The sequence below is a fragment of the Homo sapiens genome, chromosome 4 (genome assembly GCF_000001405.40).
Source record: "Homo sapiens chromosome 4, GRCh38.p14 Primary Assembly".
NCBI lineage: Eukaryota > Metazoa > Chordata > Mammalia > Primates > Hominidae > Homo > Homo sapiens.
Genome location: NC_000004.12, coordinates 8,759,035 through 8,775,619, shown reverse-complemented (window position 1 = coordinate 8,775,619; position 16,585 = coordinate 8,759,035). Strand labels below are relative to the sequence as shown.

Here is a 16,585-nt window from a genome sequence, read left to right as displayed (position 1 = left end):
ACTCTTCTCTACTAAAAATACAAAAATTAGCTGGGCATGGTGGCACATGCCTGTAATCCCAGCTACTCGGGAGGCTGAGAAAGGAGAATCGGTTGAACCTGGAGGCAGAGATTGTAGTGAGCTGAGATGGTGCCACTGCACTCCAGCCTGGGCAACAGAGACCTTGTCTCAAAAAAAAAAAAAAAAAAAAGAGACCTATGATATCTATGAATTTGGAAAGGAGAGGGAGACTTTCTTCTGACGAGTCACAGCCTGAGAGGTGGCCATCCAGGAAGCATGAGAAACAGGTGCTTCGAGGGAGGAGGGGCGGGAGCAGGAGCTTTCTGCTGACCAGGCTGGCTACACAGGTTATAACATGGAACAGGTTATAGGAGGAGGTATGGATATTGCCAAACGTGGTCCTATTGCATGCATGTTGAAGAAACATGCACGTAACGTATGACCCGTGTTCACATTGAGGTGGAGATCTAACATTTAAATGTATTACAACTCCTGCAGGAGCTGATTTTATAAAAAAGTGAAATAAATAAGTGTATTACAGTCAGGCCCTATACATCGAAAGGTCTTTTCAGGCGCAAGTGCACAGTCTCTGGAAACCGGCCAGAGGCAGCCCGTGGTTGCTGGTCTCTCATCAGGAGAAAGTTCCTGAAATGGTCTCTCGCTCAGTGAAAGCTGGTGTTAGGCTGCTGGAGAAGGGGGTCAGCTAGCTGGTGTCTGGAGCTGGATGAGCTGTGATTGTTTTTACGTTTCTTATCTCCAGGCCAGGGCTTGCTTAGCGGCTGGAGAAAAAGAAAACCCTTGTGGCCAGAGCATTTTTATTCTTTAAGTGCAAGCGTGTATGGCTTAACCCGTGCCCCGCAGGGCCTCAGGTCCTGTTTATAATTTGGCATCTTATTGCCACCAAGAGTCTGTTCTGCTGGTCTCATGGCCTCTATTTTAACATTAATGCTGGGCAGTTGTGTCTACACCGCAGAAGGGAGGGGAGTAGAATGAGGCGAGGCTGGCCACCCATCCCATCACGGCCGAGAACTCAGTTTTCAGGGGTTTCTGGGGTCCCCTTGGTTACCAGGAGGTCCGTTCAGTAGGTGGGGGGCCAAGGATTTTATGTTTAGTGTATATAGTAGAAGTGCTGGACGAGGCCAGGGTGTGTCACATTGCCAGGGACAGTTTTACCTTCCTCCGCCCCTCCCCTCTGTAGGACTCACCCAGCATCTCCAGGTACCTGGAATGGAATAGACTCTGGGAGAGCGCAGTGGGAGAAAGAATGCCTGCCCCCCACACCCCCCAGCAAAGGGCACCGAGCTCGAAGGAACCCCGTGTTCAGATTCCCACCTCCAGGGGTCCCAGGCCATCGCCCCTGGTCTGGGGGAGACCTGGTGTATCGTGGAGTGCTGGAGGGCTTTTGAAGCCCCCTTCAGGCGTGTAATAGAAGGAGAAGGAGTGGGGGGCTCCACGCTGGGGCTGCAAAGGACCAGAGGAAGGGAGGAGCCTCTGGAGACTGGCAGGAAAAATGATTCTAAAGTGCTTTGCTTCCCTGGAGGCCGAAGGGAGGGGGCAGGGCAGTGGGGAAGGAGGCTCTGCGGTGGGGGCTGCAGTACCGCCCCCCGCCCACTGCAGACCTGTTCCCAGGCTTGGGGGTCTGCTTTGCTTTGTGGCCTCACTGGGGAAGTGAGAAACAGCTAGGGTGGGACTCAGTTCTTTAGTTTTGAGGGAGAGTGAGGCTGAGCGCAGGACGCTGGGAGGGTGGTGTGGGCAGGAGACACCTTTTCCAAGGAGCTCCGCACACGTTACCCAGAGGCACGGGGGCCGGGCGGGATGCCACCGCAGCCACGTGTCCCTGGGCTCCGGCCTTGCACATGCTGTCCTCCCGTGTCCCCCTCTGCTGGCTGCGCCCCTTCATCTGCAGGGCTCGGCACACGCCCTCTTCCCTGGGAGCCACCTCTGGCCTCCACCAGGCGGGCTGGGCACCTCCCCTTCACCCCACCCTAGCACTCGTTCCAAAGACCACAGTCATGGTCATGGGCTTAACTCCCCAGAGAGACGCTGGTCCCAGGGGCCAGGGCTCTCACTCATTCACCTGCCCCACTGTCACCGAGGCCTGGCTCAAGGCTGGCCCATAGCATCTACTGAGTGAATGAACGAAGGCAGGGAGGAATGAACGGAGCTGACCCACGCTTGTCTAGCCAGGTGCCGGGTGGGTGCCGCGGCTTTGAACACAGTTTTAGATGCAGTCATGGGTGAGATTAACAAAAGCCCACTGCGGGTCTGCAAAGCCCTTCAGCGTCCTACGTGGACAGAGGCCACCTGTGCTGGAAGACGCTCCAGGGAGTCTGGCGCACTCGGGAACAGCTTGCCCCCTGCAGTCCCCCGACGCCCTGTGCGGGGTGGCCCGATGGCCTCCGGCTGCTCCAGGATGGGCCCTGGGCCCAGGGACACCCCGCCTCTCTCTGCTCTCAGGAACATCTAAGCCTGTGAGTCCAAGATTCTATAATGTGAGTATCCTATTACCATTATGGTTCATAACAGTGGTTACTCCTTATTGAGCACTTACCGTATGCTATGGTGTGTGGCCTGTTCTGGGGGCGGCCTGTAAATTATCTACTCAACCCTCCCAGAGTGAGAGGGGTGCTTGTATTTCCCCATGTAGAGATGGGGAAACTGAGGCTCAGGAGGAGCGGGCCCAGGGGAACTAGAATAAGGAAGGCGGAGCTGGCTAGAAGCCCGAGCTGCAACCAGCTGGGAGTTTTAAAAGGAGTTAAATGACTTGCCCACAGCCCTAGAGGGCTGCTCCTAGGTGGATGAGGCCCAGGCTGCTGGCCCTGAGTCCTGTTTTCAGACCTTCACTGATGGCTCTGTCTCTAAGGAATGGTAATGAAATAATGTCGGTGTGACATGGCTCTTGACGCCTGCGAGTGTCTAAGTGCTTTATAACAATTAACCGGGTCTGGCCAGCTCCCACAGCCAAGCGTGATAGCCCGGGGGACCTGTGATGGCCCGAGGAGGGAAGTGGCAGGGGAGACAGACTGAGGCCCTGAGCGCCTGGGAGCTGGCACTTTTAAAGCACAGGAGCCTGGGCTCGCATACCAAATAAGCTTAAAGCCATGGAAATTTAAAGTAATAGTCAGAAGCTGAGTATCACGGACTAATAGAGTTTTGTACCTAAGGGGTCTTAATGTCTTATATTTAAAAACTAGGAACTTGGTTGCAGCCTGGGCTACTAACCAGTTCTGCCTTCCTCTATTCTAGCTCCCCTGGGCCCTCCCCTCCTGAGCTTGAGTTTCCCCATCTCTACATGGGGAAATGTAAGCACCCCTCTCACTCTGAAAGGGTTGAGTAAATAATTTAAAGGCCGCCCCCAGAACAGGCCACACACCATAGCATACAGTAGGTGCTCAATAAGGAGTAACCACTGTTATGAGCCATAATGGTAATAGGATATTCATATTATAGAATCTTAAACTCACAGACTCAGAATCTTAGACATGTCAGTGGTCTCCTCCCGACAGGTCTGCCACTCTTCTGGGTGTCCCTGCACCTGTGCAGGAAGGATATCTGCTTTCCCCCACCAGGGTGCACACAGGAAGTGTTTAATCCATGTTGGGGAATCAGCAGTCTTGTACCTGAGAATTCCCAAATCTTAGACTTGTGGACTCACAGGCTGTGGAGGGAGGGGGCCCTTGGAGACCATCTGGTTTGTGCTCCAGCCAGGCGGGGCTGGAGATTACTCACATTCCCATTGAATGCCTCCCCTGACCAGGAGCTCACTACCTCTCAGCGCTGTTACTGCAGTCACACCGCCCAACTCCCCGCGCCCTCACAGGCACGGACCAAACACAGTTACAGACACTCACAGACATTTATTCAGGGCCTGCACGGTGCCAGCATAAGAGGGAGGAGCCTTTCTGGAAGGTCTCTACGTCTTGAGACTCCCGACAAACTTCGGTCCCTCTCCCCTGCCTAGAATCACCCCTGTGATTTCAGGGAGACCTTTCAACCATGCCATGGAGCGGATGTCCTCTTACCCCGTTGCTTTACAGCTGAGGCAGCTGCGGAATGCAGGAGGCAGGGAAGTGCTCCCAGCCGGGAAGGTGTAGAGAAGCCGGAGCTCTGACCAGGAGCAGCTCCCTGCAGATTTCACCCCAGCACACACAAGGCAGGGCGTTCTGGGCTGAGCAGCAGGAAGGAGCTTTCTTCTCCCCAGTGGTGGTGGTCGCTCACATGGCCCTGCCTCCCGGCCTGGGTCCTGGCATCCTCGTGGGGGAGGTCACAGTCCTCCCTGTGGCCCCTGCCCTCTGCTTCCTGGTGCCAATTGCCTGGGGCCACTGTTGCTGGCTTCCTGCCCGTCTGTACTGCAGGACCCTGGGCTCCCCCAGGCCGCAGACTCTTCCCTGCTTGTTGCCAGGGCTCAACAGAGGCTTAGACCCAACTAGGTGTTCAGCAAATTTGTGCTGAAAGGAGGAGCCTGCGTTTCTCAGAAGCCACTTCCTGACTATTATTACTATAGTATCATCCCCCTTTACAGGGCAGCTGACAGCCCAGGGAGCTGAGTGAGGAGCCCAGGCAGGCAGTCTTCCCGTTTGCTCTGTCCCTCCATATCACACCCTTCAGTTGTTGCATAGAAGGGCCCACTTCTGCCTCAGTTTCCTCATCTGAGCACGGAGGGGAGCCTTGCGCTCCACCAACTTGCTGCCCCCCACCCCCCCCTCCACCCCGCCCCGCTCTACTGGCGTTTATTTCAGCCTTACACTTGTGCCCCTGAGAGCAAGCTGACTCAGGGAGCTTTGCGCAGGGGAGGAAACAGCCCAAAGTGTTGCGGCTTTCTGGACACCCGCTGTGAGCCACCTGACCCGAGCACCGCATGCAGCAAACTGAGGAGATCTCACAGCAAGCTGGCACACAATGTCCCTGCTTTGCAAGTGAGGAAACTGAGGCACAGCAAGGTTAAGTAACAGGCCCGGAGTCACGCGTCCCTGGAGGCCGATCTGGGCTTTCCCCACAGCCCTCTGGCCACAAAGCCCCTGCTCTCAACCCCTGCGCAGTCCACTCCCAGTCCCCCTTCTGCTTGGAGGACCCCGAGAGGCCTGAAGGCTCGCCCCAGTTTATGAACATGGCCCTTCTTTCAAAGGCGAAATTGTCTGGCAGGATCCTAAGGAGGAGAGTGAGGAAAAAAATGACAAAATGGAATAGAGAAATGGAAAACGTTGTGCTCGTAGTGATGGGACTGCCATCCTGGCGGCGGGACTGCCCTCCTGGCGGCGGGACTGCCCTCCTGGCGGCGGGAATGCCATCCTGGTGGTGGGAAGGCCATCCTGGCAGTCTCCCTGACAACCTCCCAGAAAGTCTCAGAAAAAAGGAGTGGAGATGCACCTTCCGGCACTGTCCACCCCGCTCTCTGCAGCCACATCTGCCCTAAGTGGCCTCTGCCATCTCTGGGCCTGGGCCCACTCTCAGCACCCCTGCCTCAGGGAGTGACCTGGGCCAGCGGGGGCCCCCACATGTCTGACTGTGACATGTGCCTCACACACAGCTGGCCTCCAGAGAGACTGAAGGATGGACAGGCTTTACAACCATTAATGCTGCAGCACAGATCCAGAGCACACAGAGGACAGTGGCTATGTCTGCAGGAGACAGCCACACCCAAAGACATCTGCGTCCTCACCCCGGGAGCACCCACATCCTCATGCAAAGAGCATCTGGGTCCTCGCCTCCTCACTCAAGGAGCACCTACCTCCTCATGAAAGGAACACCCAGGTCCTCATTCAAGGAGCACCTGATCCCAACTCAAGGAGCACCCACCTCCTCACCCAAGGAGCACCTACTTCTTTACCCAGGGAGCACCAACCTCCTCATGCAGTGAGCAGCCAGGTCCTCACTCAAGGAGCACCCACCTCCTCACCCGAGGAGCACCCAGGTCCTCACTCAAGGAGCACCCACCTCCTCACCCGAGGAGCACCCAGGTCCTCACTCAAGGAGCACCTACCTCTTCATGCAAGGAGCACCTACCTCTTCATGCAAGGAGCACCCAGGTCCTCACTCAAGGAGCACCCACCTCCTCACCCGAGGAGCACCCAGGTCCTCACTCAAGGAGCACCTACCTCTTCATGCAAGGAGCACCCAGGTCCTCACTCAAGGAGCACCTACCTCTTCATGCAAGGAGCACCCAGGTCCTCACTCAAGGAGCACCTACCTCTTCATGCAAGGAGCACCCAGGTCCTCACCCGAGGAGCACCCAGGTCCTCACCCAGGGAGCACCTGCCTCCTCATGCAAGGAGCACCCAGGTCCTCACCCAAGGAACACCCCCCTCCTCACCCGAGGAGCACTCAGGTCCTCACTCAAGGAGCACCTACCTCTTCATGCAAGGAGCACCCAGGTCCTCACTCAAGGAGCACCCACCTCCTCACCCGTGGAGCACCCACCACCTCTCTTCGCCCCCATCCAGCTCTGTCCCTGACTTTGTAAGGTGTGTGAATGTCAACACTGTGGCTTCCTCGTTCCAGGGCCTGAGAGGCAGTCAGTTCCCCAGGCTGCTCTATTATTCATAGTAATTGAAATAGCAGTCCTTAATATGCTGTCACACACTGCACTGGATAGAGAGTGTCATACAATAGATGACACATTCCTAAGGAGTGCTGTGATGGCCACACTGGGTCCAAATGGCCAGGCGCTAAGGGCACCCTTCTCCTGTGGTGCTGGTGGCCTGCAGGCTCCTTGACCTCCATGCGTCCCCACCAGGAGCCCAGCTGTTGTCCCCTTTCCCAGAGAGGGGGCTCTGTTTACCCAAACGTGAGGGTGGGATGGGAGTCAGATGTCTCCAGCAACCCAGGGGCAGAGACAGACATGGCCCGGGGGCAGCTGTGGGAGTGTGAATGCGCTGGGTGGATGGAGCAGGAGGGTAACGGGGGGTCAGCAGTACCCTTTGGCAACCTCGGCCTTGTGGCCAGGACAAGAATACCCAGGAAAGGAGTGTGAATCCTATTGGCCATCCAAGGGCCTGAACCAGGAATGGAGTTGGGGTGGCTGCGAGGGTGGCCAGGGCTCAGCAGTTGGTGACCTGGGACAGACGTCACGAAGCACACGGCCATGGCTCTACGGCTCTCCGACCACCTGGACTTCGGTGCAGCAACCCTGGCTGGCCTGAAATGATGGCCATGTCCCCACCCTCCCCGTTCGGTGGTGATGTTTTAATCTTGGGACAGAAAGAAACAGGAAGGAACGTTGAAGTGGAACAGTACCCGGAGCAGCACGGCCCTCTCGCAAGGGATCATCTTTGTGAGGGCGATTGATCTGGTTGGTTGATTGATTGACAGACTGATTCATTCATTCATTCATCCAGTCAACACTTGCTGATGCCTCCTCTGTTCCAGACTCTTTCCAGGGTAGCCTGGGACAGAGGTGTGAGCAGCAGAAGGTGCTGCCCTCCAGGAGCTGACCTCCAGGGAGAGGCTGACAGCAAACCCACAGCAGACCCATGGGTGGGGCCCGGTGGTGGTAAATGCCACGTGGGAAAGTAAAGCCAAGGACGGTGGCTGGGCTCAATTCAGGGCAGGGCCCTGATAGCCTCCCGGGCCATCCAGACGAAGCCTGAATGCCATGAGGTTGAGCAGACATAGGAGGAAGAGCATTCCAGGCAGAGGGAACAGCCGCTGCAAAGGCACAGAGGCAGGAGATGCCCAGAAGGTTTTGTGGCAAGCATGGAGGGAGCGGGGTGAGCATCCTTGGCCCTCCTACAGCCTGGGGGATAGTTTTGAGCCAGGGGCCAGGGGGTGGAGTTAGGTTGGAAGGCAGCCGGAGGAGGCTATGAGCTCGGCACAAAAACCCACATCCAGCCAGGCACGGTGGCTCATGCCTGTAATCCTAGCACTTTCGTAGGCTGAGGCGGGTGGATCAGTGGAGGTCAGGAGTTCGAGACCAGCCTGACCAACATGGTGAAACCCCGTCTCTACTTAAAATACAAAAATTAGCCAGGTGTGGTGACAGGCACCTGTAATCCCAGCTACTCAGGGGGCTGAGGCAGGAGAATTGCTTGAACCCAGGAGGTGGAGGCTGCAGTGAGCCGAGATCATGCCACTGCATTCCAGCCTGGGCGACAGAGTGAGATTCCGTCTCAAAAACGAAACAAAATAAAAACCCACATCCACTCTAGACAATGCCGAGAGTGTAGTGGTTCTAAATAGAATGAAGGAGAGGGTTGGAATGAACTTACTGACAGCATAGCAATGGATACAGTTTATTTTATTTCCAGGGGCTATTAAAGTGCTTCGGAAGGTTTTTATGTTAGGTCTATAAGAATACCCTGACAGGCCTTTGAAGTTCTTAGGGAAAAAATAAAACCTCTAAAAATATTAATTTTATGAATGCAATCTAAAAGGTGTAATTAATTAGATGTGTGGAGTAGGCAAATAAAGCACAGGGGGCTAAGGTCTTTAATTTCAGTGCCTCGGATGCTACTTAAAGAACACGTAAAAGATACTTTTCTTATTCAACAATGACTAGCTTTATAAACAGTACAATGAGATTTGTAAGTCGAGCTTTACGGCTCAAGGGAAATTGGCTTTTTGAATATGAAACGTCAATGTTAACTTTAATAAGTTGTGTATTAAGTTAAAACCCGATTAAATAGTAAATAACCCTTCTTGCCCATAAAGTCTTCCACAGGCATTACTGGACCCCACAGACACTGGGTGCGAAGCAGGGGCAAGTCCCCAGTGAGAGTCAGCGGAGACGCCGCAGTGGAAAGACCCTGCGTGGCCAGAACAGGACGGAGGGGAAGGTGAGGGTGGGCAGGTCGGGGGAGCAGGGAGGGGATGTGGGCGGACAGGGGCTCTGTCCTGGGTGCCAAGGGCCTTCCCTGGGAGGCCATGAGGGGCTCACACAGGCATGGTCCGATCACCCGGCTTTTGATCCATTTTGTGCGGGATCATGCCTGCAGAGTGCAGGGTATTTAGTAAAATGCTCAGCAAGGCTGCCCTTCCTGTTTGTGAGAGGGGTCAGTGATGTTCCCTCCTCCTTCCAAATCACTCACCCAGCCGGGTTCCTGTCTGTCTCCTGGGAGGGTGGCAGCAAGACCCACAAACTTCAGAGCCCTGTCTGTGAGCAGGGGGCACCTCAGAACACTGCCTGTGGGTGGGGGGCACCTCAGAACCCCACCTGTGAGCGGGCACCACCCCAGAAACCTGCCTGTGAGTAGGGAGCACCTCAGAACCCCACCTGTAAGCTGGGAAGCACCTTGGAGCCCCCACCTGTGGGCAGGGAGCACCTCGGAGCCCCGCCTGTGAGCAGGGAACACCTCAGAGCCCTGCATGTGTACTGGGAGCACTTCGGCAGGTGGAATCCAGCAGTGACATGCTTCCTCAACACACCCACGGAAGGAAACCCTGGGCCAGGTTGGTGGCCTTGGGGACTGGCATGGGAGGACAGCAGGAGGAATGTTTGCTCAGTGCCCACTGTCTCCTGGGAGGTTCAAGGCACATCCTGTTCTATAGGAAGGACCCTGAGAGCCTGGGGGTGGGGGTCACTGCCGGGGGTGCCAGGGCTGATGAGGGTGAGGAGGCAATGCTGCCACCAAAGGCCTGGCCATGTGTCCTGGCCCTCACCAACGTCACCTCTTTCTGTAGATGTGGAGGGAGACAGAGGTGTGGACTGCGCAGGCCCTGACCCAAGGGGCTGGAGCAAATCCCACCCTGACCCTCCTCTGCTACATTCACAGCAAGTCCTCTGGGCTCTGGGGCCGGGCTCCTCCCAACGCTGTCTGGCTCCTTCATTTCTGCTGCCTCTGGACAGGGAGCCCCGTGGGCAGCACGCTTTTGTCACACACGGCTGCACCCACCCCCAGGTCCCGGCTCGCAGGTGCTCACTCTGCAAATGAAAGAATGAGTGAGTGCGTGAATGAGTCAGTGAGTGAATAACATGAGGAGAGTAGGGCCTGTGTGCGGCTGGCAAGGGCCCGTTCCTGTGTGCGTGGCTGGCAAGGGCCAGCTGACACATGGATGGTACATGGGGCACTCTCTCTCTCTCTCTCTGTTGCTCTCATCAAATGACCCTCCTGTGATGTGCCTGCCCCAGCCCAGGACAGGCCAGTCCCCCCAGTATCTCCTGAAGCCCTTCCCTACTCTTGTCCCCCAACCTGGCTGTGGCCTGTGCCTGTCTCCTGCTGGGTTGTCGCAGGGCATGTAGGTACAACTCTTGTCATACCGGCCGTCCTCTGCCTAACGACCACTTTGGCAAACAGCTGGGGATGATGTTGTTTGGGGGCCATTGCTTATGGCTGACCTGCCCTTGCAGCCAAGGGCCTCTCTGTGTGGCCACAGCATCATGGGGCAGCCTCTCATCCTCTCAGCAGAGCAAAGCACGGGCTGTCTTCGAGGGCTGCTCCATCCAGCAGCACGAGGCCAAATCCATGGGTCACATCCGATCAGAACCCGGCTGTGGGGAGACAGGTTAGCCCGACTCCAGCCTGGCTACACCACCCAGGGGGAGCCGCTTTCTCTCCCTTGTCAACAAGATGGAGATGACACCCTGGAAGTGACCAGGTGGCTGTAGATTGGGGGCAAGACCCCAGGAGTAACCCTGTGATCTGGCGTTGGGCACACAGACAGTTGCTGGCAAATGGTTTGTCTTGTGTTTCCCGTGGCGCAAATGAGCTCCATCTGTTCCTTCTTGGGGCAGGTGGCAAAGGCATTTTCCTGTTTAGCAGAACGTGAGCGTCCCATCTAAGGCAGGCCCACCTCACTGGGTGCCATCGAGGCCGTCTGGGAGCTCACCCAAGGCAGAGCTGGGGGCATGGGAGGTGGCAAAGTGAGTTCCCAGACAGGTGGGGTGGGCCAAGAGAGTGGATCCTGGGGCGCTGGTGGGGACGACGGGGCAGGGGAGGGGGTGGAGAAGCCCCGCGTACGCCCGAGAAGGGAGGCCTTGGCCTGGCACCTGCAACTTCAGCACTGCCTTCCTTGGGGTCTGCGTGGCTTCACCGAAAGCCTGACCGCCGGCAGCCCGCAGCCCCGAGCCATTTGACCTTGGACTCCTTTCAGGCACCCAGAGAGGGCCCATCGATCTCCTTCCTGAGAGCACATTATCCTCGTGCGTCCTTGTGTTAATGTGCTGTGCTAATTTCCCCGTCCCAGCTGCGCACCCCAGGTGCCCAGAGCCTTCCTCACTAGCCCCCCGGGAAGGGGCTCATCTTGGGGAAGGGGCATGTCTCTGAAGTGGGGGGGGTCACCTATGCAAAGTGCTCAGAAGTGTTCAATGCCTCCCTAAGGGCTCTGGCTTCCCTGCTAAGTGTCGCGCAGCCAGCGTGCAGGGCCCTGGGGCCGCCAGCAACAAGTTTGCCAACCTGCCCTCAGCGGAACGTGGAGCTATGAGCCCCCATCACACACAGGCCACATCTCAGCGTACAGAGACTGAGGGGTCAACAGGTTTGGCCTCCCACCCATGGGGCTTTGCATCTCACAAACCGTGGCCCCCTATGAAATCCCCCACCTACTCACCCATCCTAGGGTCAGACGCAGCCACTCAGCCTGGCCTCCAAGGGGCGGCCGGGGACCCTCTTGCCTCAGCTTCCACCTCCACCTCCTTGGCCACTGTACCGGCCCCACGGCCTCCTTGCTGCTCTGACCACGCCCCCTGCACCCCATTTTTCCCCCAGGCCTCCTTGCAGCCTGTGCGGGGCTCCCTCGGGCTGCCCACGCTTTTCCTCAGCACACCATGCAAAGAAATGGTGTCATTCGTATGACACTCTGAGTAAAGTGGAGTTGGCCTGGGGACTCGGAGGAAAGAAATGCGCTATGTTTTCTTTGTATTTTATAATTAGGACAATTTTTCATGTTGAATTTGTATAAAACTTCCAAGTAACTTTTCCTGAATTTTAGTGAGAAACCGGAGTTTGCAGCACTTCATGAGAAACGCGGGCATTTTTCTATAGTGCTTCACACGTAAGACGGCCCAAGTAATTCTCGAGTAATTCTCCATTGGGGCTTTAAATGATTCTATTTTCAAATTCTTGCAGGTCACCGCGGACGAGAAACAGCCCATCCTGATGGGGGTAAATATTTTCAACAAGGGTTGCAGCCGTCAGAAGCCGGCAGCGGCGGGCGCTGTGTTTAGGGATGCCAGCAGCTGGCTCCGTGATTTTTATTTCATTGAAAAATGTAACCTTGCAATGTCCTGTGATCGCAGAGAACCTGGAGGCGACTGGCTGCTCTCACTTCACAAACTTCAAAGCCAATGGCAAAGCCCCCACGTGCAAATTACCCAGCCTGAGTGGCCCAGCTGGCCTCGGCGGCTGAGGGGCTGCTGATGCCCACTGCCTGCAGCTGTGCCTCAAGAGCCCCTAGGGGCCACTCACTCTGCTGCCCCACCCTGACCCTGGGGCACCAGGCATGGGCCTCACCCGAAGCAAGTAGAGGCTTGGGCTGCTGAAGTTGGCAACAGGAGGCAGAGCCTCTGAAGGGCTCCTGTGTCCCTGAGCACAAGTGCTGATGTGGCTGCCGTGGTCATCATCTGCGGGGACCACAGGGCTTGTCCTCTGACCCTGCCACTTAGGCACCTTCTGAGGAGCCCCTGCCAAGGCCGCTGTGGGCAGGAGGCTACTAGCCTAGGGCTTCACCTCCTCCAGGACCCAGAGCCTCTGCTGTGGGTGGGGAAGACCAATATCTCACCACCCCCCTTCACAAATGACCCTCCTTTATAGGTGGTTCATCTCCACAGAATACCTACCCTCCTTCACAGGCGACCCACCTGCACGCGACCCACCTGCACAGGTGACCCTCCTTCACAGGTGACGTTTATTCCCAGATGAACCATCTGCATAGGTGACCCATTTGTACAGGTGACCCATTTGCACAGGTGACAGCCTGATGTGCCCAGTGCACAACTTGGGAAGCTGCACTCTAGCCACCATGGGTTACTGTCCTCACACCCTTCCTATTTTCCCATTTGTTCTCTGCATCTCCCTCCAGAATGTTCCATGAGGGTGTGGTCATCTGTCTGTGGCTCAATGCCCAGAGCAGAACTGTCATCCCTAAGAGGTGTTTAGTGACTGTTTGTTGAGCCAGTGCCTGGGCAGCGGCACCCTGTGGCCGGGTCTGAGGGGCAGCCTGGAGCCCCGTCCTGGCTCCCAGATGCAGCAGGCCCCTTGCCAGGCAGTGCCAGCCCCTGGGCCTGCTGATGAAAGGCGGCATCCCCGGGGGTCTGTGGCTGGAGGGCAGAGGGAGAGCCTGGGACTCCCGGGCAGGCCAGCTGCGAGGGATGGACATGAAGGTTCCTTCCAGTCCAAACCGGCTGGAAATCAGAAAATGATATTTGGGGCAGCAACAATTCAGTGATTTCACTGTATGGGGAGTGAAGCTGGGGAGAGGAGTGAGGAGGGGGACAAGGCCTCAGTGAGGGGTGGTATGTGCTGTCCAGTGCTGGGCGGGGGCCACCAGCCCAACCATGGTCCAGGCCTCGGTGTTTGGCCCGGCTTCTTCGGGGACACTGCCTCCTGCCCACGGCTCCTCCCAGCCCTGTGCCTTGACCCCTGACCTCCCCGCCTCACCCCTGCTGGGCCCCTTTTTCTTTGTCCGTGGAGCCCCTCCCCAGCATGCCCAGCCACCCCCGTGGGCCTTGTCCATGGCTCTGCCCTGCAAATGACAGTGCCTTAGGCCCCAGGACCGGCTGATGGTGGCTTCCTTGGTGAGACCTCAGTTCTCCCAGCTGCTCCTCTGTGCTGCCGCCCAACCTGACGGAGATTTCCCTGGATGACGTTGGGGGAAACTCCCCTGGTTTTCCCTGAAAACCCAGCTCAGCTCTAAAATTCAGGCACCACCTCCCTGCCAGATGCCTCTCGGGACACCTGGAAAGACTCCGGCCCTTTGAGGTTTACTCTGCTGGGCTCACTGCCTGGAGCAAAGCCTGTGGTCAGTTCCTGGTTATTTGTTGGTTTTACTGAGGCCCTTGCCGCGTCCCTGGGTTGCAATGATTTGTGAACTCGTCCTCCTCTCCACCAGGCTGTGAGCCTCCGGGGCAGAGCAGGTTCCTCCGCATGGATTCCTCCCCAGCTTAGCGTGGGCTGGCGTGGGGTGTGCACTCCGTGCACTGGGTGTCGGTGCTGGTGCGGGGAGAGGTGGAAGAGAGAGCAGCTGGAGGGAAGAGTGTGGCTCTAGAGTCACACTCTAGAAGGGGGGTTGTTGTGGGGCTCCAGGGAGGGTGGCAGCTGCCTCCGTGCTCCAGGCCAGCTCTTGCCAAAAGCACGGGCCATTCTGGTCCTCTCTGCTTGCTGGCCCTGGCCGTGGGCTTGGCCCAGGCCAATCTGGGCATGGAGGCTTGCTGGGGCTCTGGCTGCCCTCAGTCTGGCCGGGCAGAGTTCAGGCTCTGAGTCTGCGGTGCTGCCAGGAGAGAGAGCTGCAGACCTGGGAGCATCTCACAGCCCAGGGGAGCAGCAGCAGGGACTCAGGGTTCCAGGTGGAGTCCCAAGCTATTCAAGACAAAAGGGGGGCTTTTGGCTGCCCCGGCTGGCAGGCGTAGGGATGGAGCATACCCCTCAGATTGGAACCAGTGCCTTTGCCATCTCTGGTGGTCACTTGGACTTTTCCAAATGGCAAAGGATGTGGCCACCAACTACTCAAGGTCACACTCTGACAGCTCAAATCCACAGAAAGACAGAGGTCCTCTCTCTCTCCAATGCCGGCATAACATCCACAGAAGGCTTCTGACTGGCATGGCCAGGTCATGCATCTTCTCTGGCAGGGGCGTGGGAGGCAGGGCTGGCAGCCGCAGTGGAACCACCCAGAGGGGAGAGGGTGTTCTCAAAGTCGAGTGAACGCGTTCACCACAGGGAGAAGCAGGGAGGGGTCTGGGCAGACCAAACCGCAGTGTCCAGGCCAACACAGGCTGTGGCTCCAGGGGCATTGGGGAGGGGCTGAACCAGATTCTGAGACAGGACAGAGGGAGCAAGAGGTCCAGGTGTGCCCCGTCTCTCCTGCTCCTTCCTGGGCAGCGCCCAGCTCTGGACACCAGTCCCAAGTCTCCAGGAGTCTCTGGGTCTATCCGGGACCCGGGCTGAGGAAGCAACCCCATCTGGGACACGCTGCTCTTGTGTTACAGGGAAAGAGCGAGAGACAGACCCCAACCGCGCAATAGTGTTGACATTAAAAAAACAACAAGTTTATTTTCTAATTTGCATACAGCAAAATTAACTTTTTTGCATGCAGTTTTGACAAATGCATAGTCACATAACCATTACCACAGTCAAAATGCAGAACCGTTCCATCCCTTCCCCTGCCCACACCAATTCCAGTGCAGTGAAAGCCGCCCCTTCCCCTTAACCCATGGCACTCAGGATCTGTGCTCCATCCCTATCGTGTCCATGACATTCTCCGGAATGTCATACGAACAGGATGACGCAGTGCGCGGTTTCTGACCTGGCACCTTTCGCTTGGCGTAATCCCTCTGAGATGTGTCCACATTGTGGTGTGAACTGATGCTTCCTCTTTTCGTCTTGCTGAGTGACACTTCATCGCGTGACCGTATTGTAGTCTATTAATCCACTCTCCACTTGAGGGACATCTGGGTTGCTTCCAGTTTGAGCGATCGTCAATAAAGCTCCTCTAACCATTGACATTCGGGCGACTGTGGCAACACAGGTTTCATTTCGCCTGGGTAAGTGTCCAGGATGGTGACTGCTGTGTCCTGTGGCAAATGCGTGCGGAATGCTACGGGACGCTGTTAACCATTTTTCACACATTCTCACCAGCAACGCAGGAGAGTTCTGGTCACTTTGCAGCCTTGCTGGCATTTGGTACTGTCAGGGATTTCGTTTCGTTTTTAATTTTAACTCTTCTCACCAGTGTGGAGTGGTACCTCACTGGGGGTTTAATGTGCATTTTCCTAATGCGTGATGATGAGCAGCTTTTCAAGTACCTGTATTTTTAAAAAAAATTTATCTCTGACGGGGAGCGGTGGCTCATGCCTGTAATCCCAGCACTTTGGGAGGCTGAGGTGGGCGGATCACCTGGGTCAGGAGTTTGAGACCAGCCTGACAAACATGAAGAAACCCCATCCCTACTAAAAAAATATATATAAATATATATAAATAAATATATAAATATATATAAATATATGTATAAATATATATAAATAAATAAATATATGTATAAATATATATAAATAAATATATAAATGTATAAATATATGTATAAATATATGTATAAATATATATAAATATATAAATATATAAATATATATAAATATATAAAAATATAAATATATAAATATATATAAATATATAAAAATATAAATATATAAATATATATAAATATATAAGTATATATAAATATATAAAAATATATAAATATATAAATATATAAAAATATATAAATATATAAATATATAAAAATATATAAACATATAAATATGTAAATATATATAAATATGTAAATATATATAAATATATAAATATATAAATATATAAATATACATATAAATATATATAAATATATATAAATATATATAAATATATAAATATATAAATAAATATATAAATATATATAAATATATAAAATATATAAATAAATATATAAATATATATAAATATATAAATATATAAATATATAC

General features: G+C 54.7%; 4 annotated features.

Moving 5' to 3' along the window:
* Positions 3,749-4,266: an enhancer, noted in NCBI's record as "H3K4me1 hESC enhancer chr4:8773080-8773597 (GRCh37/hg19 assembly coordinates)". NCBI's record gives its function as "activates a minimal SCP1, AML or CMV promoter by ChIP-STARR-seq in naive and primed H9 embryonic stem cells {active_cell/tissue: H9 hESC(naive and primed)}" and the evidence as "EXISTENCE:reporter gene assay evidence [ECO:0000049][PMID:30033119]".
* Positions 9,580-10,440: an enhancer, noted in NCBI's record as "H3K4me1 hESC enhancer chr4:8766906-8767766 (GRCh37/hg19 assembly coordinates)". NCBI's record gives its function as "activates a minimal SCP1, AML or CMV promoter by ChIP-STARR-seq in primed H9 embryonic stem cells {active_cell/tissue: H9 hESC(primed)}" and the evidence as "EXISTENCE:reporter gene assay evidence [ECO:0000049][PMID:30033119]".
* Positions 11,797-12,297: an enhancer, noted in NCBI's record as "H3K4me1 hESC enhancer chr4:8765049-8765549 (GRCh37/hg19 assembly coordinates)". NCBI's record gives its function as "activates a minimal SCP1, AML or CMV promoter by ChIP-STARR-seq in primed H9 embryonic stem cells {active_cell/tissue: H9 hESC(primed)}" and the evidence as "EXISTENCE:reporter gene assay evidence [ECO:0000049][PMID:30033119]".
* Positions 12,298-12,798: an enhancer, noted in NCBI's record as "H3K4me1 hESC enhancer chr4:8764548-8765048 (GRCh37/hg19 assembly coordinates)". NCBI's record gives its function as "activates a minimal SCP1, AML or CMV promoter by ChIP-STARR-seq in primed H9 embryonic stem cells {active_cell/tissue: H9 hESC(primed)}" and the evidence as "EXISTENCE:reporter gene assay evidence [ECO:0000049][PMID:30033119]".